Source organism: Homo sapiens, chromosome 7 (genome assembly GCF_000001405.40).
Source record: "Homo sapiens chromosome 7, GRCh38.p14 Primary Assembly".
In the NCBI taxonomy this organism is placed as follows: Eukaryota; Metazoa; Chordata; class Mammalia; order Primates; family Hominidae; genus Homo; species Homo sapiens.
This window is the reverse complement of record NC_000007.14, coordinates 3,038,349-3,064,131: the sequence shown is the minus strand read 5'-3', so window position 1 is coordinate 3,064,131 and position 25,783 is coordinate 3,038,349. Positions and strand designations below refer to the sequence as shown.

At 47.0% G+C, this 25,783-nt stretch overlaps 1 protein-coding gene across 2 annotated transcripts in view, besides 4 other annotated features; it reads left to right on the top strand.

Moving 5' to 3' along the window:
• Nucleotides 651–970: an enhancer, noted in NCBI's record as "active region_25557". NCBI's record gives its function as "activates an Ori minimal core promoter by ATAC-STARR-seq in GM12878 lymphoblastoid cells {active_cell/tissue: GM12878}" and the evidence as "EXISTENCE:reporter gene assay evidence [ECO:0000049][PMID:35858748]".
• Nucleotides 20,043–20,337: an enhancer, noted in NCBI's record as "tiled region #4127; K562 Activating DNase matched - State 4:PromP". NCBI's record gives its function as "activates a minimal TATA promoter and a strong SV40 promoter by Sharpr-MPRA in K562 cells {active_cell/tissue: K562}" and the evidence as "EXISTENCE:reporter gene assay evidence [ECO:0000049][PMID:27701403]".
• Nucleotides 20,043–20,552: a biological region, named in NCBI's record as "Sharpr-MPRA regulatory region 4127".
• Nucleotides 20,203–20,552: a silencer, noted in NCBI's record as "silent region_17892". NCBI's record gives its function as "represses an Ori minimal core promoter by ATAC-STARR-seq in GM12878 lymphoblastoid cells {active_cell/tissue: GM12878}" and the evidence as "EXISTENCE:reporter gene assay evidence [ECO:0000049][PMID:35858748]".
• CARD11 (caspase recruitment domain family member 11) overlaps nucleotides 20,265–25,783 on the top strand; it is a 137,726-nt gene continuing 132,207 nt past the window's right edge. For both annotated transcript variants that reach the window (NM_032415.7, NM_001324281.3), the window contains exon 1: nucleotides 20,265–20,465. The gene's annotated coding sequence lies outside the window, so the exon portion shown is untranslated. The remainder of the gene's footprint in view (nucleotides 20,466–25,783) is intronic.

The following is a 25,783-nucleotide window of genomic DNA, read 5'->3' as shown; positions in this document are numbered from 1 at the left end:
CGCTGATCTCAGTTAGTGGGCTTATGTAAGAAAGCCATATCTTCTCCACTTTCCCCTAATCCATGTAAAAAATAAAACACATTTTAAAATATGTATGTCACAGGCTCAAGAATGTGAGTCCCAACCAGGCGGAGTGGCTCATGCCTGTAATCCCAGCACTTTGGAAGCCCGTGGCAGGAGGATCGCCTGAGCCCAGGAATTTGAAACCAGCTTGGGCAATGTAGCAAGACTTCATCTCCACAAAAATGAAAATTTAAAAATTATCTGGGCGTGGTAGTGTGCACCTGTATTCCCACTGCTGGGGAGGCTGAGGCAGGAGGATTGCTTGAGCCCAGGAGTTCAAGGCTGCAGTAAGCTAGGATCACACCCCTGCACTCCAGTCTAGGCGGCAGAGCAAGACCCTGCCTCTAAAAAACAAAGAAAGAAGAAGAAAGAAGAAGGAGAAGGGGGAGAAGGAGAAGAAGAAGGAGAAGGAGGAGGAGAAGAAGAAGAAGAAGAAGGAAGAGGAGGAGGAGAAGACGAACGAGGAGGAGTAGGAGGAATAAAAGGAAGAAGAGGAGGAGGAGGAAGAGGAAGAAGAAGAAGAGGAGAAGCAGAAGAAAGAAGGAAGAAGGAAGAGGAGGAGGAGGAAGAAGAAGAAGAGAAGAAGAAGAATGTGAGCCCCTAGGGGGCTAGGGGGTAGGAATGATGTAAGCAGGCTGTTTCTCCCCCTTTTCATTCCTGACACCTCACTCCTCCCGAAGACTCAATAATACAGCCACCTTAACAAAACTTTCCACTCTGAGGTGGGCAGGGAAGGAGGTGGAGGAGAAAGGGGAGGAGGCTGGGTGGTGGCAACAGGTTGAGACTGCACCACTGTCCTCATTTCACAGAAGAGAAACTGAAAGAGCTGCACCATGGGCCCCGGGTCCCACGATGCACTCACAGTGGAACTGAGTGACTCAGACTGGGTCCTTCTAGCTTGTGTTTGCTCTGCCTAAAGGTTTTTGGACTGAGACACTGCAGCCCTGTGATTGCCATCCTGGGCTGTCTGCACATGGGCCCCAAAGACCAGTGCTGGGGTAGAGCAGAGAGTGCCAATCAATGGGGCCCAGGCCGTCTCAATTCCACTCTGAAGCACGTGTGCACAGTGTCGGAAGGGAGGCAGGAATGGATAAGACCCAGGCCATGCTCATGGCTGAACTGGTGTGCACATCAGAGAAAGATTTGTGTCTGAGTAGGCTTCAGAGGGTGTCAGAAAAGTGGGGTGGGCATTGGCACCCCAAGGGTGGAGCACACTGGGAGCCACCTACTCCAGGCTCCTGCAGGAAAGGGTCCATTGTCTGTAGAGAATTTAAAATTAACAATAAAACCAATGAAGAGTTAGACTGTTTCTATTATCACCATGCACCAGCAATTCTACACAATGCCCATGATCAGCTATTCCTCATCGAAAAAGAAAAAAATCTTTGTTCGGGCTAAGTTCTAAACAATTGCTGTGGTGACTGTTGGGTTTTAATAATAGCTATGTGCACTCTGGATTAGCACAGTTTTTATTACTCAAGCTTTAATACATATTGTATACTACCTGGGAGTTAATTCCAAGAACTCCCGTTCCTGCAGTCGGCTCCCAACATCCCCCCAACTCAGCTGCTCCCCAAGAGTGAGTTCCCGTGGCAACAAGACAAGGTCATCCACTCTGGCCACTGCTGGAGCCTCTAGCCAGGGCAGTTAGGAAAGAAAAAGAAATGAAAGACTTCCAGATTGGAAAAGAAGAAGTAAAACAATCCTTATTCTCAGATAACATGATTTTGTAGAAAATCTCAAGGAACCCACTAAAACTATTGAAACTAAATATGAGTTCTGCAAAGTTGAAGGATACAAAATCAATATGCAAAAATCAATTGTGTTTCTAGATGATAACAATAAACCATTCAAAAATAAAATTAAGAAAACAATTCATGTACAATAGCATCAAAAAGAATAGGATACTTAGGGATAACTAAGAAGTATAAGACTTGTATACTGAAAACTACAACACATTGTCAAAAGCAATTAAAGGTAATCTAAATAAATAGGAAGACAACCCACGTTCATACTCCTCAAGTTGATCTACAGGTTCAACACAATTTCCTATCAAAATCCCAGCTGTTTTTTTTTTCTTTGCAGAAGTTGAACAAGCTTATCCTAAAATTCATATGGAAATTCAAGGGCCCCAGAATATTCAAGACAGTCTTGAAAATGAAGAACAAAGTTGAAGGACTCACAGCTCCTAATTTCAAAACTTACTACAAGATGACAGTAATCAAGATAGTGTGGTACTAGCATAAGGATAGACATAGAGAAAAATTGAATAAAACTGAGAGTCCAAACATAATGGATTTTTGACAAGCGTGTCAAGACACTTCAATGAGGAGAGAATCGTTTCTATTATGGTGATGGATGATAATGGATGGATGATGGACTCACGGATATCTACATGCAAAAGAATGAATTTGGATCTCTACCTCACACCATACATAAATATTCCATCAAAGAGCATCATGGCAGCCAGGTGAAGTGGCTCACGCCTGTAATCCCAGCACTTTGGGAGGCTGAGGTGGGTGGATCGCTTGAGGTCAGGAGTTCAAGACCAGCCTGGCCAACATGGTGAAACCCCATTAGCCAGGCATGGTGGTGGACACCTGTAATTCCAGCTACTCAGGAGGCCAAGGTGGGAGAATCGCTTGAACTCGGGAGGTAGAGGTTGCAGTGAGCTGAGATCATACCACTGCACTCCAGCCTGAGCCAAAGAGTGAGACTATGTCTCTCACACACACACACACACACACACACACACACACACAAAAAAAAAAAAAAAAAAAGTTGATCATAGACCTAAACGTAAAGGTTAAAACTGTAAAAGTCTCAGAAGAAAACATGGGAATAAATATTTGTGACCTTGGGTTTGCCAATAATTTCTTAGCTATTTCACCAAATGCATAAGCAATTAAATTAAAATTTCTGTGTTACAAACAATACCATCTAGAAAGTGAAAAAGCCCACAGAGTGGGGGAAAACATGTGCAAATCACAAATCTGATATGGGACTTGTAGCCAGAATATATAAAGAACACTTCTAACTCAATAATAAAAAGACAATCCCATTTTTTAAATCAGCCAAGGATTTGAACAGACGTTTCTCTAAAGAAGATTCACAAATGGCCAGTAAATAAAGAAAAGGTTCTCAACATCATTAGTCATTAGACAAATGCAAGTCAAAACCACAATGAGATGCCACCATACACCATTTAAATGACTACCATAAAGAAAAGAGTAACAAGTATTGGGGAAATTAGAATGCTTGAACACTGTTGGAGTGGATGTAAAATGGTGCAGCTGCTTTGGAAAACACTCTAGCAGCTCCTGAGAATGTTAAATGCGCAGTTATACATATGACCCAGCAATTCCACTCTTAGGTATCTACCCAAGAGAAATGAAAACATCTCTTAACACAAAGCCTGCACATCGGTGTTCATAGTGTTATTCACAACAGCCGACAAGTAGAAACAATATAAGTTCATCAGCCGATAAACAGATAAATAACTTGTCATCTATTTCTAGAAACAAATAATTTTTGGCAACAAAAGGAAAGAAATACTGATACCTGCTACCACGTGGGAGAACTCTGAAAACATGACGCTAAGTGAAAGAAGCCAGACACAAAAGTCTGACTACTGTATGATTCCATTTATAGAAAATTCCCGGAACAGGTAACTCCATAGAAATAAAGAGAAGAGTGATTGTTGGCTAGGGGTAGGGAGGGGTGACGGAGGAGATTTGGGGAGAGGGGGTGGAGAAAGGAGAATGACTGCTAATGCGTACGAGGTTTGTTTGGGGGAGGAAGAAAAAGTTCTAAAATTAGACAACAGGGCACAAAATATTCTAAGTCTAAAGTTGAAAAGCATAATTGTGTGCACTCTCAGAGATTCATGTAATTCTTCTAAATAGTTGCAGTGTAACTGTCACACGTCAGTCTCCACATCGATAAAGTGACAGGTGTGGCCGGATGCGGTGGCTCACGCCTGTAATCCCAGCACTTTGGGAGGCCGAGGCAGGCGGATCACCTGAGGTCAGGAGTTCGAGACCAGCCTGGCCAACATGGTGAAACCCCATCTCTACTAAAAATACAAAAATTAGCCAGGTGTGGTGGTGGGTGCCTGTAATCCCAGCTACTTGGAAGGCTGAGGCAGGAAAATCCCTTGAACCTGGGATGCAGAGGTTGCAGTGAGCCGAGATCACACCAGTGCACTCCAGCTTGGGCAACAGAGTGAGACTGTGTCCCCCAAACCAAAAAAAGAAAAAATGTGACGGGTGGGTTTCACTTTAATCATAGGATGTTTACTCCTTCCTTGGCTGGAGTGATACCAATTCTGTAGATATACTAAAAACCATTGAACTGAACCTTGCTTTGTTCTGTTTTTAAGACAATGTCTCACTGTGTCACCCAGGCTGGAGTGCAGTGGCACAATCATGGCTCACTGCAGCCTCCACCTCCTAGACTCAAGCCGTCTTCCCGCCTCAGCCTCCCAAGTAGCTTGAACTACTCGGTGCCACTGTGCCTGGCCTGAATTGCACACTTTAAATCGGTGAACATTATGGTATGTAAATGATATCTCAATAAAGCTACTGAAAATAAAAGTGTAGATTCCTAAAGTTTCAAGATTGTTTGGGTTCATTTCTGGCAGATTCTTGTCTCGAACCCCTACGGTCCTACAGATTCCTGTGCTTAAAAGGTAGATTCCAAATGAACGAGAATAAAATAACAGTGAGAAGGACAACAAAACAGAGCTTGAGTTACTTAATTGCTGCCATTTTTGTGATCACTTGTAGTTTATGTTTAACGTTTAAAACACTGAAACAGACGGTGAATCCCAAATTGCCATATTTTTGTTGTAGGTACACATTTCAGTATTTACCCAGAATCTTTTCCTGAATTTGCATAACACCTTTAAAACTGAAAAATCAGCCGGGTACAGTGGCGCCTGCCTGTCATCCCAGCGCTTTGGGAGACGGAGGCAAGAGGATCACTTAAGCTCAGGAGTTCAAGACCAACCTAGGCAAGATTGCGAGACCTCGGCTCCATAAAAACAAAAAAATTAGCTGGGTATGGTGCCACTCCCCTGTAGTACTCGCAACTCCAGAGGCTAAGGCAGGAGGATTGCTTGAGCCCAGGAGGTTGAGGCTGCAGTGAGCCATGATTGCACCACTGCACTCTAGCCTGGGCAACAGAGCAAGACCCTGTCTCTAAATGAATTAATTAAATAAAATAAAATTGAAAAATCCATTCTTTTTATAACTGATCATTGAAAGCCATAGAACAGATTAAAGTAATGATTATTACAGATTGATATAATTATTGCTAAATATAATTTTGAAATACGTAGAAAGTTGTTCAGAATGCTCTGTTCCGTGGCTCAAATATGCAGTGGTGTTACTGGGACAGGCCAGGTCATGAAGGAGTAGAACACCACACTTTAAAGGAACTAGCTGCATCCACAGTCATGTATGCGGGCCCAGTGATCTTAAGAGTTATTAATAAAATATTGATATCATTCATTTATCTAGTCAAGTGCTTTAAAATTGTATGGGCCATTTCCACACAGTAATTTCATCTCAGCATCCCCTGATACAAAAACTGGTGCTGAAAACCAAAGCGGGGTGTGTGTGTGTGTGTGTGTGTGTGTGAAAGAGAGAGAGAGAGGGAGAGAGGGTGTGTTTGGCTGCTCTTGTTTTAATTTTGCTCTGTGTGTGCCCCCCCATTGGCAGTGCACAGGATGGGGGTCTTGGACTGTTTGCCAAATGAAAGCCTTCCGGCTCCATGATGGTTTGCCTATTTTTTCAGTGTATTTGCCTCTTGTATTTCGTGCTGAATATTACTGAACCTTATTGATGTCACCAGCATTGGCTTCTCTCTGATCAGAGTGATTTGTTCTACCTCTCACTTCTGTTCTTTCTTTTTATTTATTTATTTATTTATTTATTTGAGACGGAGTCTGTCACCCAGGCTGGAATACAGTGGCATCATGTCGGCTCACTGCAACCTCCACCTCCCGGGCTCAAGTGATTCTCATGTCTCAGCCTCCTGAGTAGCTGGAATTACAGAAGCGCGACCCCACGCCTGGCTAAATTTTTTGCATTTTTAGTAGAGACGGGGTTTCACCACGTTGGCCGGGCTGGTCTGGAACTCCTGGCGTCAGGTGATCTGCCTGCCTCGGCCTCCCAAAGTGCTAGGATTACAGGCGTGAGCCACCGCGCGTGGCCGTTCCTCTCACTTCTAATCATTCTTTTCTTTCTCCAGCGCTCCCTGTCTGACCTTGTAAAGTTTCCCTTCCTCCTGTTTTCCTCCCTCGGCTAACCCTTTCCTCGCAGCCCTGCTATTTCTCTCTGTGTTCTTATACTCTGAACTCAGCCATTTTAGCAGACACATTCCAAATAGACACAATTCTTTGATTGAGAAAATCAAAGGTTGGAAACATGTCGATTTTCAAACATGCTATGCACGGTTTGGGTCCAAGCAGCTAACAATGCATTTGATTTTACAGGGTGCAAAATATGCCAAGGCTAAAGTTAAACAGCATAAGTGTGTGCAAGCTCAGAGGTTCATGAAATTCTTCTAAATAGTTGCAACGTAACTGTCACACGCTGGTGTCCACATTGATAAAGTGACAGTTGGTTCTCACTTTAATCACGGGATGTTTACTTCTTCTTTGGCTGGAGTGATGGTGTGAGTACCGCTGTGCCCAGCAGAACCTTAGGGAAATACGCTGGAGTGTGTTATGCACGTAGATACTGAGAGATGCCTCATAAAAAAAACCCAGACTACTATAAAACAGTTCGAGAACCACTGGTGTGTGGACGACTGTGTTTAAAGAGGCCAATTGTATAAGCTACAACATTCGTGTTTTTAATGAGCCCTGACTTGCGTACTCAAACATTGTGTGCTAAAAAACAGACATAACTCAAAGCTGTTTATACGGCCTGAGTGTTTCCAGTTTCTTCCTCTAAAAGCAAAGGGAGGAGAAAAAGCAATCGGCAGGCATGGTGATGGACGAGCAGGGTTAAATATTTTCCGTCTTTAAACAGGGGGAACCAAAAGCAAATATTGGACCTCTGTTAAGTTCCCGGCAGAGGAGAACAGACTCAGAGGTGATGAAGCACCTTCCGGGCCTCAGGTAACCTAGAGCGTTTTAAAGCCTAATCAGTTACATGCTGGTAATACAGTCCCCGAAGACAAACAAAGCATCCATTACACGCTCGCCGCGACGCCTCACACACATTTCTGGTCATTACTGTGATTTTTTCATTATTTATAGAGAGCCGCAAGCACACACGCCACACTGTAAATGGATGTAGCGTGCCAATTACCCTAATGTTGATTAACGGGGGAAGAAAATGGTGGTCAAGTTTCAGGGACTGTCACCTCTCCCCTTGGAAAGGAAAAGCAGACAGTACACAGCCATGAGCGGTGAATCGGATGTTGCCACATTTCTCCAACATTTATCTGCCTCACGCAGAAAACAGAGCCTCTATAGGACCACCTGGAGCTGTCCTCAAGGCTTAGATCAGAAAGCCCTGAGTTCATTTTAGTCGTGGTATTCTCATGAGCATACAATCGTTTTGCACATTTCGTGCAGAAATGCCTCCACGCCAGCACGGTAGTGGAGTGAATTTCAAGGTATCCTTTCCCCCCGTGAAATATATAGATGGCTATCATCATATTTCATAGCCCAAGCAATTGAAAACTGTTGCATGTGTATTACCAGCCTACAGATGGAAAGTATTTTCCTCCTGGATATGAGCCATGCTTTCTGCAAGAATTTTTTTTAAGAAAAAACAGCCAACAAGTCAGGGGTCATTGAAGGTGTTCAGCAGTCAGGAAAGTAAATGGACCTCTCAGTGGGTTATTTTTTATCAGTGTGGGGTAATGTGGACACATTGATGCCTTTCTGGAATCATCTCTGCATAGGGAGATGGCTTGGAAACAATCTGAAATTAAGAGGCATGAGCTTGCAGAGGCAGAGAGCAATAACCACGTAGAAGTATAAAGTACGTAAAACATAATTAAAGGCCTATAGGGTTCTGTTTTGCTCTTGATGCTATTTTGTGGGGTATTAATATATACCACGGCAGTGAGGTGTGGCATCTGGGAAAAAAGCAATATATTAATTCTCAGATCAATAGTTTGTGAAATGCTTTCTTGCTGTCCCAAGCGTGTGACTGTTTCACTGATAAGGAATGATTTTCCCAGAGTCACAGGCAGCTGCCACTGGCTGAGATTGCTCTCTGGAGGCGAGGGAACGAAGGGGGACTGCCCTAGCAAAGGAGGGGTCATTTAAGAGACAGAACCACAACCTCCCCTGGGTTCCCTCTCTCATTCCATTTCACTCTCCATACAATCCAGCAATGGCTCCTAACACAGCGTTGAGACCAAGGTACGACCTCAGCCTCTCTGTTCTCCCCATTTTTTTAATCTCTTGTGGGGGGATGCAGACAACTCTTAAGCTACTATAAATGGCTAACGTTTGTAAGGGGAAGAACCACAGAAGATGGAGAGCACTGGGAGACATACGGAGGCGTATGGGGGACAGTAGTGAGGAAGGGGCATTGAGGCAAGCCAAGCTGACAGTTTCAAAAATTGAACTGATTTAACGAACCACATCTGATCCTGCAGCTGCAGCATGGACCCCTGCTGCTGCCCTCCCTGTTTTTTTTTTGTTGTTGTTGTTGTTTTGTTTGTTTGTTTTTGTTTTTTTGAGATGGAGTCTCGCTCTGTCACCCAGGCTGGAGTGCAGTGGCGCGATCTCGGCTCACTGCAAATTCCACCTCCCAGGTTCACGCCATTCTCCTGCCTCAGCCTTCCAAATAGCTGGGACTACAGGCGCCCGCCACCACGCCCGGCTAATTTTTTGTATTTTTAGTAGAGACGGGGTTTCACCGTGTTAGCCAGGATGGTCTTGAGCTCTGACCTTGTGATCCGCCCGCCTCGGCCTCCCAAAGTGCTGAGATTACAGGCGTGAGCCACCGCGCCCAGCCTCTGCCCTCCCTGTTTCTAAGATGATCTCAGCTCAAAGTGACCCTGTTTTGAGAGAAGACATGTTACACACACCACCTCCAGGCAGCCTGCAACCAGTGACTGACGGATGGTGGAGCCCATCAGCCCAACAGGCCATTCATGCTCCAGAGCTCCCGGGAGAAGGGGTCAAGTCTCAACACCAGCTGGCATCACCTCCCCATCCAGCTCTCCCTCTCTGCTCTTCCCCTCCTCTCACTTTCCTGCTCCTGAGAGCACCCCTCAATTAACCACTCACATGAGAATCCCCATCTCAGGGGCTAGTCCAGTTGTCTCTGTTCAGATGGAAAAAGAGCGTGCACATGTCTGTCCACACACGGATGCATGCACTAGGGGCAGATATCACTTTTCTTTCTCAGCTTCCCCAGGGGGAGAGGTGGGTGTACTGGCCTCCTCCTGCACAGAGCAGACAGGGAGGGGATAGTGGGGCAGGGCCAGACCTGCATCTTGGGCTGCCCTTGCAAAAACCGAGTGCCACTCCATGTCCTGCAGAGAGGCCTGAAGCATGGGCTTTCCCAAGCTGCTTTTAAGTTCCCGGTGCAGTGACAGTTAGGTGAGTGACTGAGATACTGCAAAGTGACCCCTTTGCAGAGGCGGCAGGTGGACTTCCAGGCTGGATAGGAATATGACAGACACTCAGCCGAGCTGGGAGAAAGCAGACTGTGTGTTATACCCAAGCTGGAAATCAGCATGAATTCCAGCAAGGCCAGCACAATCAGCCAAGGAAGGGGCATTGTCTTAGAGAACTGAGAAACAGAGGACAGAGGCTTGGGACCCCAAGACGTCCTCTGGGACCTTCCAGGCCCCTATGAGCCACTCTCCTCCTGCACACTCAGGAACCATCCGAGAGGGGGAAGCTGAGGGAGGGGACGGCTGCATGAGAGACTCAACATGTCAATCCAGAAAGAGTGAGTACCATCTAAAAGGACTAATCAATTACTGGATTGGGCTAAATTTTAAGCCAGAGAGAGCTAAAAGTTTTACTTTTCCTACTATCATGGAGGAGGGGCGCAGAAGAAAGACAAGATGCTTTCCAGATAACAGAGGGGTTTTCTCTAAACACAAGAAGGATTTGAGTATGTGACCTGTGACCACACCACAGATCCATGCTACGATCACTTGACTGCTTGAATGCAGGGAGGTAAGAGAACTGATCAGCTCTGCCCTGGTATTTAATATTCAGTAGTGTACACACACATATGCACACACACACATGCATGCACACACATATGCGTGCACACAAATGCACAGACACACACACACATATGCACATGCACACGCTTCTTGTGTAAATGATTTTATTTTTATTATGAAAGAATTGCACGGTTGTGGAAATAGACATTTGTCAGAATAAAGGGGCACACACTGAAAATTAAGCGCACCCATATAGTCCTTGCTCACGCCCTTCCTAGTTGAGCTCCTTAGAAATGACCATTTTTGATCAAATAAGACTTCCAGATGGATCTGGCTTAAAAATTAGTCCCATCCGGTACTTCAACAATTCTTTTCAGTTCTTTTAGCAGCTAAGATCTTTCCACTAGCTAGCCAGGGTCTTTACTAAAAGCTCTGATATTGGAAGAGATTTCAAAAAGTTCATGGAAAACGCATATTTTCAAAAAACCATGCATAGATTTAAATTTTTTTTGGCACCAAAATAAACGCATGTGAACTGGTTATAACATGTCTGAAAAGGATCCAGTTTGGAGCACTAAGAAGGCTAAGGAATCAGTTTATAAAAAGTCCCTATTGGAGTAACATGAATTCTGCTAAAATTGAAGCAAGAAGCAACATCAAAATTATGGTGAAACTCGAGTGGGAGAATGGCGAAATCATTGATGCTTGGCAAAGTTTATGGGGACAGTGCCCCCAAAGAAACTAGCAGTTTAGAAATGGACAACTCTTTTTTAGAAGGGACAAAACAATGTTGAAGATGAAGCCCCCCCCCCCCCCCAACATCAAGTCGTGAGAAAGAAACTCATCTTGTTCACACCCTAGTTGAAAAAGACTGATGATTAACAGCAGAAATAAGGGCCAACACCACGGACATCTCAACTGGTTCAGCTCACACCATTCTGGCTGAAAAATTAAAATTGATCAAATTTTCCACTTGTTGAGTGCCAAAACCATTGCACCTACATCAGCTACAGAAAAGAGCAGAGCTTTCAGTGGAAATTTTAAACAAGTGGGATCAAGATCCTGAAGCATGTCTTCAAAGAATTGTAGCAAGAGATGAAACATGGCTTCACTGGTACCATCCTGAAGACAAGGCACAATCAAAGTAATGGCTACCAAGAGGTAGAAGGAGTCCAGTCAAAGCAAAGCAAGAGTGAAGCAGTCAAGAGCAAAGGCCATGGCAAGAATTTTAGGGGATGCTCAAGGCATGTTGCTTGTTCTATTTCTGGATGGCCAAAGTACAATAATATCTGCTTATTGTGAGAGTATTTTGAGAAGGTTTGCCAGAACTTTAGCAGAAATACGCTAGGGAAAACTTCATCAGACAGTCCTTCTCCTCCATGGCAATGCTCCTGCTCATTCCTTTCATCAAAGAAGGGCAATTTTGTGAGAGTTTCAGTGGGACATCATCAGGCATCTACAGTACAGTCCTGATTTGACTCCTTCTGACTTCTCTTTGTTTCCTAATCTTAAAAAATCTGCAAAGGGCACCCATTCTCCTTCAGTTACAAATGCGAAAAAGACTGCATTGACATGATGAAATTCCAAGGACCCTCAGTTCTTTAGGCATGAACTCAATGGGTGATATCATAATTTTCCAAAGTGTTGACCTTGATGGAGCTTATGTTGGGAAATAACATTTATATTTTTTATTTTTATATTTTAATTTCATTTCTCAATGAATTTTTTGAAGTCTCCTTGTATACTGACATTTTTGTAGGTCTCTTGCACAATTGTTATTTTTTAAATTGTCCTATTTATTTATATTTAAAAGAATTATTTTCACTTATTTATTTCAGTCTTTCTGAGTTCCTTTTTCCTAGATTTTTTTTTGAGACCTTGCTCTGTTATTCAGGCTGGAGTGCAGTGGTTCAATCATGGCTCACAGCAGCCTCCAAATCCAGGGCTCAAGGAATCCTCACACCTCAGCCTCATGAGTAGCTAGGACCATAGGTGTGTACACAGCCAATTTCTAGGTGTTTGTTTGTTTGGTTTTAGAGATGGGGTCTTGCTATGTTTCCCAGGCTCCTCTTGAACTCCTGGCCTCAAGCAATTGGTCCTCTTGCCTCAGCTTCCCAAAGTGCTGGGATTATAGGTGTGAGCCACCACACTTGGCCCCTAGATTTCTTTTTCATTTTATTGTCATCCATTCTCAAGGAACTTTTTTCTTGAGGAGTGCTTAGGAATTAAATTTCCAAAGTTCCCTGCATGTTGAGGAAAATGTTTATTTTGCTCTCACACTTAATTGATGATTTGGTTGAAATCAGAACTCTAAGTTTAAATTAAATGTCCCTGAGAACACTGATGCATGACTTCCTTGTCTTTTAGCAGCCAATGTTGCTGATGAGAATTCTGAATCCCACTGGGAACTTGGCATCAGTGTGCATGATTTTTCTCTCTAAAAGATTTTAGAGCCTTCTCATTATCCATCTTTTTTTTTTTCTTTCCTGAAATGTCATGAGGCTATATCTAGGTACAGATCTTTTTCATTCATCCTACTTGGCCCTCCGTGGTCTCTCTCCTCATGAAGAATCATGTCATTCTTCAGCTCGGACAAATATTATCGTTATCTCATGATTAATTCCTCCCTCCACCTTCTCTCTTCCTGCTGGAACTAAGTAGACATTGGTCTTTCTGAATTCATCATTTAGATCTCAACTTTTCTCTCAAACTTCTTCTTTCTTTTTGGGTTTTATTTAGTTCTCGCTTTCCAGCCCAGCAGATAGACCTCACAGACATCTTCTTCCAGCCCTTCTACTGTATGTTAAATTTTATTTTATTATTCGAACAACCCTATTTTTAATTTCCATGACCTGTTCCTTTATTCAGGCAGCCTGTTTCATAGTAATTTGTTCTTATTTGATGGATGTGATCTCTGCTCGAATCTCTCTGCGGATTCTCATTGGAGGATCTTTTTGGATCATTATGTTTCATTCCCTTCTCATCATTGTTTCTTCCCTTCCTGCCCTTGGGAGATGATTGTCCAATTTGTTCATCTAAGTCCCACCCTTTCAAGCTGCTGATCTCTGTCCATGTTTGGGAAGGTCCGTGTTGACTCGTGTGGAGTTTCCTTTGTCTTTTCCAACCTCTGTATGGAGGAGAGGCCAGCTGGGATAACGGGGGGCAGGAATACTGTGTCAACAGGCAGCCTTGACTCCAGGGCTATGCTCTGAGAAATCTGGTCTGGGGACCTGTGTCCTTCAGTGCACCGGTCCGCACCAAGATAAGAGCCGAAACTAAGACTAAGCATTTAGAAACTTTTATAGCAGTTTTGACATTGACACGACAACCAAGCATGATCGGCCAGCTTGTGTCTTGAGTGTCTTTTTTAAAATTCTATTTTCTAGTAATTAATTTTTATTATATTTCACAAAAGTATCAGGCCGTAACAGATTAGAATTTTTTTTAAAGGCAGGAGGGGTTGGGGGTGTCTTTCGCTGCAGATGGTTCCAGAAGCCCTGCTTTTGGGAACCCAGGCAGGGAGAGGCTACCCCAGCCGCCCCCCTGTTATGACATGAGGAAGGGCTTTTGGGGCCCATGCCCCCATTCTAAGAGCATTTGCCCCTCTGAGCAGCTTTTCAAAAATTGATACATAATATTTTATATATTTATGGTATGTGTGTGATTTTTTTTGAGACAGGATCTCATTCTTGTTGCCTAGGCTGGAGTGCAATGGTGTGATCACAACTCACTGCAGCCTCAACTTCCTGCACTCAAGTGATCACCCCCATCAGCCTCCTAAGTAGCTGGAACCACAGGTGCGTGCCACCATACCCAGCTAATTTTTTTTTTTTGAAGAGATGAGGTCTTGCTATGCTGTCCAGGCTGGCCTTGAACGCCTGGGATCAAGCGATCCTCCCACTTCAGCCTCCTGGGTAGCTGGAACCACAGGTGCGTGCCACCACACCCAGCTAATTTTTTTTTTCTTTGAAGAGATGGGGTCTTGCTATGCTTTCCAGGCTGGCCTTGAGCTCCTGGGCTCAAGCGATCCTCCCACCTCAGCCTCCTGAGTAGCTGGAACCACAGGCACATGCCACCACACCCAGCTAACTTTTTAAATTTTTTGTAGAGATGGGGTCTTGCTATGCTGTCCAGGCTGGCCTTGAACTCCTGGGCTCGAGCGATCCTCCCACCTTGGCCTCCCAAAGTGCTGGGATTATAGGCGTGAGCCACTGGGCTCAGCCTTTTGTTACATGCATAGAATGTGGAATGATCAGGTCAGGGTATTTGGGGCATCTATCACCTTGAGTATTTATCATTTCTCCATGTTGGGAATAATTCAAGTCCTCTCTTCTAGCTAATTTGAAATATACAATACATTGTTGCTAGCTACAATCGCCCTACTCTGCTGTCCAGCATTAGAACTTGTACCTTCTATTTAACTGCATGTCTGTACCCATCAAACCAAGAGTTTTCACTGGAAAGATCTCTCTGGCTTCGGCCTAGGGGGGAAGCTAAAGTGGCACAGTGGAGGGTTGGGGGAGGGAAGTGGGGCAGCCGTACCTGCCCCAGCAGTCCTACAGATGATGCTCCCATCAGTCACTCGGTGTCTGCCCTTCCTCTGAGACTGCCTTCAGTTCAATCCTGACAGATCTGAGGGGTTCTACAGTAGGAGAGTCACTCTCAGCTCTGCTGCTGACTCCCTGCTCCAGGCTCTGAGCCGGGGCTCCTGTCCACTGCCGTCTGCCTCCCAGAAATGCTTCTCACCTCTTACCTGCATTCTTTCCAGGCACCTTTTTATAACCTATCCCCCACTGTTCTTGGCAGGTAAATTTTGTGTTTAGTTTGCTATCTTTTTTTTAGAGACAGGGTCTCACTGTGTCACTCAGGCTGGAGTGCAGTGGTGTGATCATGGTTCACTGCAGCCCTGAACTCCTGGGCTCAAGAAGTCCTCCCACCTCAGCCTCCCGAGCAGCTGGGACTACAGGCACCCGCCGCCATGTCCACCTAATTTTCTTGTATTTTTGGTAGAGTCAGGGTCTCCCTATGTTGCCCAAGCTGGTCTCGAACTCCTAATCTCAAGTGATCTGTCCGCCTTGGCCTCCCAAAGTGCTGAGATCACAGGCCTGAGCCACCGTGCCCAGCAGGTTGTTCCCATCTTTGTGTCTATGATTCAAGGACTTTGGAATCAACTTCTCTCTGGGATCACAGAGGAATCAAGATACAAAATGGTGTATCTAGGCATGAGGGAACTCAGTGGGGTGATAGTTGTGTTCTATATAATACAGCACCGCCCAATAGAAATAAAATGTGTAATTTTAAATTTCCTACTGGCAATACCAAAAAGAAACCAGGGAAATGCATGTTAATAAGATATTTCATTTAATCCAACTTATCAAAAATATTATTTCAGCATGCAATCAATATAAACATTATTAATGAGACGTTTCATATTCTTTTTTACACACAAAGTCTTCAAAATCTGGTTTCTTTTACACGTACAGCACGTCAATGCAGACACCACATTTTCCTCGGAGATACTTGACCTGTATTTAGATTTCATTAACTTTACAGTTGAAAAAGTAGGTGAACATGCTCAAATTGCTCCAGACGTACTTAAAAGCTTTTCGATAACAAAATCAAGTGTTAGTTTTTGGATTTAGATTAAAAATAATTAAAATTGGCCAGGTGCAGTGGCTCATGCCTGTAATCCCAGCACTTTGGGAAGTCAAGGCAGGCGGATCACTGGAGGTCAGGAGTTCAAGAACAGCCTGGCCGTCATGGTGAAACCCAGTCTCTACTAAAAATACAAAAATCATCTGGGCGTGGTGGCAGGCGCCTATAATCCCAGCTACTCAGGAGGCTGAGGTAGGAGAATTGCTTGAACCCGGGAGGTGGAGGTTGCAGTGAGCCGAGATCGCACCACTGCACTCCAGCCTGGGCTACAGAGTAAGACTCCTTCTCTAATAATAATAATAATAATGGAAGAGAATTAAAAACTCGCTTCCTATTCTCACCAGCCTCCTGTCAAAGTGCTCAGCAGTCAAATGTGGCCAGTGGCTGTCACATTGGACCACACCGTTCTATGTCCTCATAAGGGCTTGGCTTACACAATATGTACATTTGTCAAAACTCATTGCATCATATAGTTTTTAAATCATTTATGTATGTATGTATGTATGTATGTATGTATTTGAGGTGGGGTCTTGCTCTGTCCCCCAGGCTGGAGTGCAGTAGTGCAATCACAGCTCACTGCAGCCTCGAACTCTTGGGCTCAAGCAATCTTCCCACCTCAGCCTCTGGAGTAGCTGAGACTACAAGCACCTGCCACCATCCCCAGCTTCACTGCATCATATGGTTAAAATCTGTTTGTAAATTTCACCTAAACAAACCTCTCTAGTGAATGGCATGCATGATGGAGTGTTTAACAGTGACGTGTACTGATGATGTCTGCAACTTACTTTGAAATACACCCAGAAAAAAGGACAGGAGGTTGGGAGGCCGAGGCGGGTGGATCACGAGGTCAGGAGATCGAGACCATGCTGGCTAACACGGTGAAACCTCCTCTCTACTAAAAATACAAAAAATTAGCCAGGCATGGTGGCGGGCGCCTGTAGTCCCAGCTACTTGGGAGGCTGAGGCAGGAGAATGGCATGAACCCGGGAGGCGGAACTTGCAGTGAGCCGAGATCGTGCCACTGTACTCCAGCCTGGGTGACAGAGTGAGACTCTGTCTCAAAAAAAAAAAAAAAAACAAAAAAAACAAAAAGGACGAGAGGATTGATGGAGAGATAGATGGATAGATCTGTGATAAAGCCAATATAGCAAAATGCTAGTTGTAGAATCAAGTGGTGGGGTATATGCGGATTCACTAGATGGTTCTTCTAACTTTTCTGAACATTTAAAATTTTTAATAAGATATTGGAGGAGAAACAGGCTTGTCTTAATGAACTAGACCCGCATGCAGTCCCATCTATAAAAGTCAGAAACATAACGCTGAGTGAAAGGGACCAGGCTGCCGAAAGAACGCATGCATGCTGCCGTTTACATGCAGTTCACAAACAGGCAAACTGACTGATGCTGTCAGAGGCAGGAATGTGCCTACCCTTGGTGGCGGAGTGACTGAAACGAGACACAAGGGGGTTTCTGGGGTGCAGATAAAGTTCCATGTTTTGATAGAATGAAGTGCGGGTGTGGGTTACACTCGCACTTGGGATAATGGCCTCCAGTTCCATCCAAGTTGCTGCAAAAATTCATGGGACTTTGCAGCATTTGTGTACTTTACTGCATACATATCTCTACAGACATGTTTCATTGTTTTAAGGCACTGCCCTCATTTCGTATCTTGCAGGAGGGAAATCTGAGCTCTTCTTTAAAATGACAGGCCAGATGCCGTGGCTCATGTCTGTAATCCTGACACTTTGGGAGGCCTGAGCGAGAGGATCACTTGAGGTCAGGAGTTCAAGACCAGCCTGGGCAACATAGTGAGACTTCATCTCTACAGAAAATTAAAAAATTAGCCAGGCGTGGTGGCGTGCACTTGTAGTCCCAGCTTCTCGAGAGGCCAAGGCGGGAGGATGGCTTGAGCCAAGGAGGTCAAAGCCGCAGTGAGCCTTGATCAAGCCACTGTACTCCAACCTGGGCAGCAGAGCGAGACCCTGTTTCAAAAATAATAAAATGAAATAAAATAAAATGCTTGCCGGGCGCATGGGCTCACACTTGTAATCCCAGCACTTTGGGAGGCCGAGGTGGGCGGATCATGAGGTCAGGAGTTAGAGACCAGCCTGACCAACATGGTAAAACCCCATCTCTACTAAAAATACAAAAATTAACCAGGTGTGGTGGTGCGTGCCTGTAATCCCAGCTACTCAGGAGGCTGAGGCAGGACGATCACTTGAACCCGGGAGGTGGAGGTTGCAGTGAGCCGAGATCGTGCCACTGCACTCCAGCCTGGGCAACAGAGTGAGACTCCATCCCAAATAAATAAATAAATAAATAAAATGCCACTGCCTGATTTAGAGGTTTCATGGAGTACAAGCAGCTTCCCCAGTCCCAGGTAGGCAGTGAGATGTATCCTTAGGGACCAAGGCCTAGAAGGCTGTGGGTCTTGGTGTTAGAAGGCTGTGGGTCTTGGTGTTCATTTTAGAAACTTTCTTTACGGCCCTTGCTTGCATTTCTGAACACGCTTTACAGGAAGCAAACTCGTGTCTTCCTTCATCCCTAGCACATGTGCATCAGTGCAAACAGACTCCTCACTGGTATTTCAGATTCTTCCGTGCTTGGACCAATGTCCCATTTTTTATTTATTGTCTTGCTGAAAATTTAATTTATTGAAGGCCTTTCCTTCTAGCAGCTCGAGGAACTTTTCTCAGAACACTTAAAACATGAAACAGAAGCCTACATTCTCTAGCCATAATGAGGGGATCAAAAGAGAGGGAGATAGATGAGAGGAGAATGGTAAACTGAGGCAGAGTAGAATGAGAGGTGCAGAGGCTGGGGCAACGGGGGGGCGGGCGGTGCAGGAGGCAGTGCAATTGCAGCAAGAGAATAGAAACTAAGGTTTTCTGGGTAGGCATGGCTCATCCAGATTTTTATTTCAATAGCTTTAGGGGTACTTGCGGTTTTGGGTTACGTGGATGAAGCGTATAGTGGTGAAGTCTGGGCTTTTAGTGCATCAGTCACTGGAATAGTGCACATTGTACAGTATACATTGTACCCAATAGGTGATTTTTCATCCCCTACCCCCTCCCATTCTTCCCCCTTCTGAGTCTCCAACGTCCATGATCCCACTCTGCCTGCCTTTGCCTACCCATAGCTTAGCTCTCGCTTTTAAATAAGAACATGTAGTATTTGGTTTTCCACTCCTGAGTTACTTCACTTAGGATAATGGCCTCCAGTTCCATCCAAGTTGCTGCAAAATACTTTATTTCGTTCTTTTTTATGGCTGAGTAGTATTGCATGGCGTGTGTGTGTGTATCACATTTTCTTTCATCCAGATTTTTGAGTCTGCAATCCATGTAAACCCTTGGGACCATCCCACCCATGACGATGGCCATTTGGGGTAAATTATTAAAATGATGACATCCAGCTGGGCGCAGAGGCTCATGCCTGTAATCCCAGCACTTTGGGAGGCTGAGGTGGGCATATCACTTGAGGTCAGGAGTTCGAGGCCAGCCTGGCCATCATGTTGAAACCCCATTTCTACTAAAAATACAAAAATTAGCCAAGTTTGGTGGTGCACGCCTGTGGTCCCAGCTACTCGGGAGGCTGAGGTGGGAGAATCGCTTGAACCCAGGAGGTGGAGCTTGCAGTGAGCTGAGATTGTGCCACTGCACTCCAGCCTGGGTGACAGAGCGAGACTCCATCTCAAAAAATAAAAATAAAGTAAAATGATGACATCCAAATCACAGTTTCTCTTACAAGTATACTTCACCGGAACATCGAGGGCACAAGCTGATGGTGGGTGTCTTGGACCCCAAAGCTGTCGGGGTGAGGAAGGCCTTTGAAGGGGTGCTGACCACCCGGCATGCCCAGGAAGCTTCCAGAACAGGGGCTGAGGGAGGAAAGAGGCTTGGGGTGTAGGAGGCTGCAGGATTTGATGTGGGGCACCCCGTTCCCCTCCCATTGCAGTGACAGGCTCTGGAATTTCTTCAGAAATTCAGCTAGATCTCGGGAGCCAGTGCCCTGGAGAACCTAGAAGGGAGAGAGCCCCTCCCAAGGCCCCACCTGGACTCTGCCGGGGGTCACGGCTGGGTGGGGACTGATGCCCAGACTGGTCCAGCCTCACCCCGACTGATGCAGGTGGGCTGGGCCCTGAGACTCGCCTTGGTCTCCCCATCTCCGGCTCCCTGATCTGTCCCCAAGCACCCCCACCCCCGGCCCTGTCCCCACTCCCACCCCCACCTCCTTGCCGCCCTCCTCCCGAAGCACCGACTCCGCCCCCTCCCTCTCTTCCTTATCTTTTTCTAACCTTTCGCATTTTTTAGTCTCATTTCCTGTCGGGTTTTGCATTTCCCTCCCCCGCCCCTCCCAGCCTATGACATACTTTCTCTCCTTTTTTCTCTCCTGCCTCCTCTGGCCTTCGGACTCCTGCCCGCGCCGCCCGCAGCCCCCTCCCGGCCCTGCAGCCCCTGGGCGGGCGGCGCCCCTCGGAGGACGGCTCCGGGCCCGGGGGGACGGAGGGCCTGGTCGCCTGGAGGAAGCCGGAGGCCTGCGTGGAGGAGGCGCCCCGCGCAGCTGGCTGGCGGAGCATGAGCGCCCCAGGTAGGCGCAGCGGGGATGGGGGAGCTGGCGGAGGGGGAGCACGAGGCGGGGAGTTGGGGGAAGAGAAGAGGGCACGGGGAGGAGATGGGGGGCATCAGTGAGATGACACGGTGGCGGGGGGGGCGTCGGGGGATGGGAGTGGCTCCCGCTGGTCCCGCGATGCTGGGGGTATCCTTCCCTCTCCATCTCTGTCCCCCTGCCCCCCTTCTCTCTCTCACTCTCCTCTCCCCTTTTTCCCTTCCAACCCTTTTTCTCCCTCACTTTCCACCTCGTGTGCCTCTCCTCCGTGTCTCTTTGAGCGTCTCTGAGTATCACCGCCCAGCAAAGCCCCCACCTCCTCCTACTGGACAGGAAAAAATCGGGGGTCAGGAGGCTGCAGCCCCTTGGTGCACCTGCCCCAGAGGGAGGAAGAGAAACTTTTCTGACACCTGAAAGGCCCGGAAGTTTGCAGACCACAGCCCAGCCTGACTCAGAGGCTCCTGGGAAGGTGGGGCCTGGCTCAGGGAGGAAGGGCAGCCGCACCAAAAGTGGGTGTGGAGCTGGGAGATGGGAGAGGACAGCCCCCCGCGGGGACTGTACTAGAAAGGGGGTGGCGGGGGCACAGGAGAGGGCCCAGGTTCCCGACTGAAACCCGGAGCAGGTCCTAGCGGCCTCAGGCCTGAAAGCCACCTCCCCCAGGAGGCCCCTCCAGGCCCGATGGGGCCACCAGGCCTTCTGCTGAGCCCCCTCTGCAGATAGGGGCAGAGAGGGTGTTTCTGTCCCTCGGGGGCTCTGAGCACCGCTGGAGGCTGTCACGGGGACCCAGGTTCATGGACAGTGGTCTCAGCTGTGAGCTTCGGGGCTGCCCACACAAACTTGGTCTTGGACCAAACTGACCTCTCTCTGCCTGGCCTGCTCTCAAAGCCTTTGATTTGTAGTTCAAAACATTTTCTCCTAATATTTATGACTCGTCTTGAAGGTATAAGGTTACCAACCTACCAGAAAGGGGAGAAAAATAGTCGATCGTTCATTCCACATTTATTGAGCGCTCAGCCTGTGCATAATGCGTGCCGGAAATCCCGGGAGCCGGGAATTGATATGAGGACAGGAATTTCTCCGTAAGTGTCCACTTCTGCGCTTTCGCGGAAACTCCGGTTCTCTCCCCAGCAAGGCATCTGTAAAGAGATGACACCCCTGCCTCAGGCCAGGGCTGCCCTGAGGAGCGCAACAGTGACCAGGACTCAGCGTAATTCAAGGCCAGGGAATGCTTGGACCCGTGTGGATGTTACTTGCCTGGGTATCAGATAGGCAGGCCGTGGCTCCACTGGCCCCAGCAGTCTTCTGTTAATGCATGAATGGTCCTTGATGTGATTTTTTTAAAAATCGTGGTGAAATACATGTGACATAAAATGAGCTCGCTGAACCACTTTGAAGCGCAGAGTTGAGTGCTGTTAAGCCCGTCCATGTTATCTTGCGGCCATCACCACCATCCAGCTCTTCCCAAACTGAAACTGTGTCCCCCGTTAAACAGCAGCTTCCTGGCCCCCTCCGTAGCCCCTGGCAGCCACCCTTCCCCGTTCTGTCTCTAGGAATCTGATGACTTTCGGGACCCCATATAAGGGGGCTCATACAACCTATGTCCTTCCTGTGCCTGGCTTATTTCTCTGAGCCTCACGTCCTCACGGTTCATCTGTGTTGTAGTCTGTGACTGAATCTCCTTCCCTTTTCAGGATGAATAATATTCTATTGTGCAGATAGACCATATTTTGTGTATCCGCTCATCCTTTATGTGATTTTAAAAAATGACTTCTGGACGGGCGCGGTGGCTCATGCCTGTAATCCCAGCACTTTGGGAGGCCAAGGCGGGCAGATCACCCGAGGACAGGAGTTCCAGACCAGCCTAGCTAAAGTGGAGAAACACTATCTCTACTAAAAATACCCACAAAAAATTAGCCCGGCGTGGTGGCGCACACCTGTAGTCCCAGCTACTTAGGAGGCTGAGGCAGGAGAATCCGTTTGAACTGGGGAGGCGGAGGTTGCAGTGAGCTGAGATCGTACCACTGCACTCCAGCCTGGGTGACAGAGCGTGACTCTGTCTCAAAAAAAAGACTTCTAAACCAAGCTCTTCTAAAGATGACACGCTTGTTTAAATCCATCAGTGGGCGTGTGTGAGTGGCTTTGTACTTGGTGCCGCAGGGGGCTCAGGAGGGATGTGAGAAGCAGCGCTCCACCCTGAGTAGGTTCATCACACAGTCTGTGTATACCGTGGTCAGAGTGTGGCTGAGACACACATGAGATGGTAAAGAATTAGGAGGAGTGGGAAGGGCAGCAGGGAGTGAGCTTGGGTGATGGTAGGACTCAGAAGGTCCAGGGATTCCTGGAAGGTTCCAGGCCGAGATGGTGCTGAAAATCTCAGGGAGGAAGGGCATCCCCACCAAAAGGGGGTGTGGAGCTGGGAGATGGGACAGGACAGCCACCTGTGGACACTGTACTAGGAAGGGGTTGGCAGGGTCACAAGAGGGCGCCCAGGTTCTAGGAGTCCAGGGGTTCGAGACCAGCCTGGGCAACATGGCGGGACCTTGTCTCTACAAAAAATACCAAAAAATTAGCCAGACATGGTGGTGTGCAGCTGTAGTCCCAGCTACTTGGGAGGCTGAGGCAGGAGGATCATTTGAGCCTGGGATGCGGAAGTTGCCGTGAGCTAAGATGGCGCCACTGCAGTCCAGCTTGGGCTACAGAGCAAGGCCCTGTATCAAAAAAAAAAAAAAAAAAAAAAAGAGGGGCAGTGTCTGGACTTCTTTATCCTATGCAGTGATTCTGGACCCTTCCGATAAAAGGCTTGCTTCCTGGGACTGAGGGGCTGTGTGACTGTGGCTTGGTGGTGGCTGGCAGAGGCCGTGGAGTTGAAGACGCACTTGTGATTGTAGCTCCTCATAGCATGTCGGGCATGAAAGGCCAAATAGGGTCCCGATTTTCAGATGATGATGATGAAAAGGCGTGTCAAATGCTGAAAAATGGAGCCTCTTCGAATCCATTTTAAAAACCGCCTTTAGGCACGGTGGCTCACACCTGTAATCCCAGCACTTTGGGAGGCGGAGGCAGGCGGATCGCTTGAGGTCAGGAGTCTGAGACCAGCCTGGGCACCATGGTGAAACCCCATCTCTACTAAAAATACAAAAATTGGGCAGGCGCCTGTAATTCCAGCTACTCGGGATGCTGAGGCAGGAGAATCGCATGAACCTAGGAGGCAGAGGTTGCAGTGAGCTGAGATTGCCCCACTGCACTCTAGCCTGGGCAACAGAGTGAGACTCTGTCTCCAAAAAAGGAAAAAAAAAAAAAAAACAAAAAAAACAAAAAAACACTTTCCATTCCCTCTTGGCCAGGCCCTGCACTATCTGCTTTGCAGGCAGCGCCTCCAGCAGCATTCCGTCTTTTGGGTTGGAGCCCATGAAGGCATGGGTTTGAGGCATGACTACTGATCTGTGCTAGCCGTGTGACCTTAGACAGGCTTCCCGTCACCTAAGCTCTCTGAGAGTCATTTCTCTAATGAAATCAGGATATCAATACTGGTTATTTTCAGTATTGTCAGTTACACCAAGCATAAAATGAGAAAATGCGGCATATGAGCTAGGACTACCTTTGCCGTGATGACTAAGGTCTGGAGCAGATCAGAGGTTGGACCCTGGAGTCCAGACCCAGGGCTGCAGTGCCGGTATCCCCGCAAACACCAGCTGGATGGACCTCGTTACTTTTTTCTGGTGCAACCTCAGATTCCTTATCTGCAATCTCAATCTTACGGGGGAATTATGAGGCCCAAGGAAATCACAGACCGAGCTGATGCTCCGTCAATCTACCCTGTAGAAAAACCCTCACTCTTGGTGGTGGCAGTACCCAATCAGTCTAGAAAATAGCTTGATTGGCTGGGCACGGTGGCTCATGGCTGTAATCCCAGCACTTCGGGAGGCCAAGGAGGAGGATCGCTTGAGTCCAGGAGTTCCAGACCAGCCAGCCTGGGCAACGTGATGAGACCATGTCTCTACAAAAAAAATACTAAAAAATTAGCCAGGCATAGGGGTCTCTCCTTACTTGGGAAGCTGAGGCAGGAGGATCATTTGGGTCTGGGATGCAGAAGTTGCAGTGAGCCGAGATCACACCACTGCGCTCCAACTTGGGCGACAGAGCGAGACCCTGTCTCAAACAAAAAAAAACGAAAAAAAGAAAGGAAATATTTTGATCGATTGATTGAAATACAGAAACAAAAAGAGAAGGAAAAGAGAACCTTCGAGGGAGCCCCTTAAACATGCTCTTCTGCCAAAGAAAAATTAGAAGGCAGCTGGGCGTGGTGGCTCACGCCTGTAATCCCAGCACTTTGGGAGGCCGAGGTGGGCAGATTGCCTGTGTTCAGGAGTTCGAGACCAGCCTGGCCAACATGGTGAAACTCTGTCTCTACTAAAAATACAAAAAAAATTATGCCAGGGTGGTGGCGGGCGCCTGTAATCCTAGCTATTCGGGAGGCTGAGGCAGGGGTATTGCTTGAACCACGGAGGCGGAGTTTGCAGCGAGCCGAGATCGTGCCACTGCACTCCAGCCTGGGCAACAGAGCGAGACTCCGACTCAAAAAAAAAAAAAAAAAGAAAAGAATAAAAATTAGAAGGCACAGATTCCAGATGCCAGCCTCTTCCTGTGGCAGGCCACATAAGAAAATCACGGCCAGGGCACTGCACGCTCCATACAAAGAACACGCCCCATGCCTTGTCTGCGTTCTCTCCTTGAGGGACTGCCGCTCTCTGGGTCAGTGGTTTTAATGGGGTGATTATTTTCGGGAGGGTAACCTTTTGGGTTGTGATTTGTTCAAGGGCTCAGAGATTATAATGGTTGCTGTCACATTTCTGTAATAGGTGTTGGTGGCCGAGAGCCAGAGGGTGATAAAAGTCCTTCCAGTCCCATCTGTGTGGCTGTCACTTCTTCTTCCCCTGTCCTGCTACTCCAAGCACAGTCATTCCTCCAAAGTGCTGGGTTCCTCCTGGCCCAGCCGGGGCCATTCCTTAGTGGGCATTATTCTTGCAAGTGTGAGAGCCAGAGAGGGGCATGTGTAGTATCCATGCTCACAAACAGGGCTCCATCCTCCTTTGTGTGGTTTCTGTGTCTAGCATGTCATCTTCCTTCCTGCCCCTCTGCAACTGAGGAATTTGCTGTCTTTATACCCAAGTATCACAGCAGCAGAATGGGGGCTGCCCCATGCCATGTCCTCGGTCATGGTGGTATCAAAGGCAACACCTGCCAGGACAATGCTGGTTATGATTTCTGCCGTCCCCTGGGACTGGCCTCATTCCTTAAGA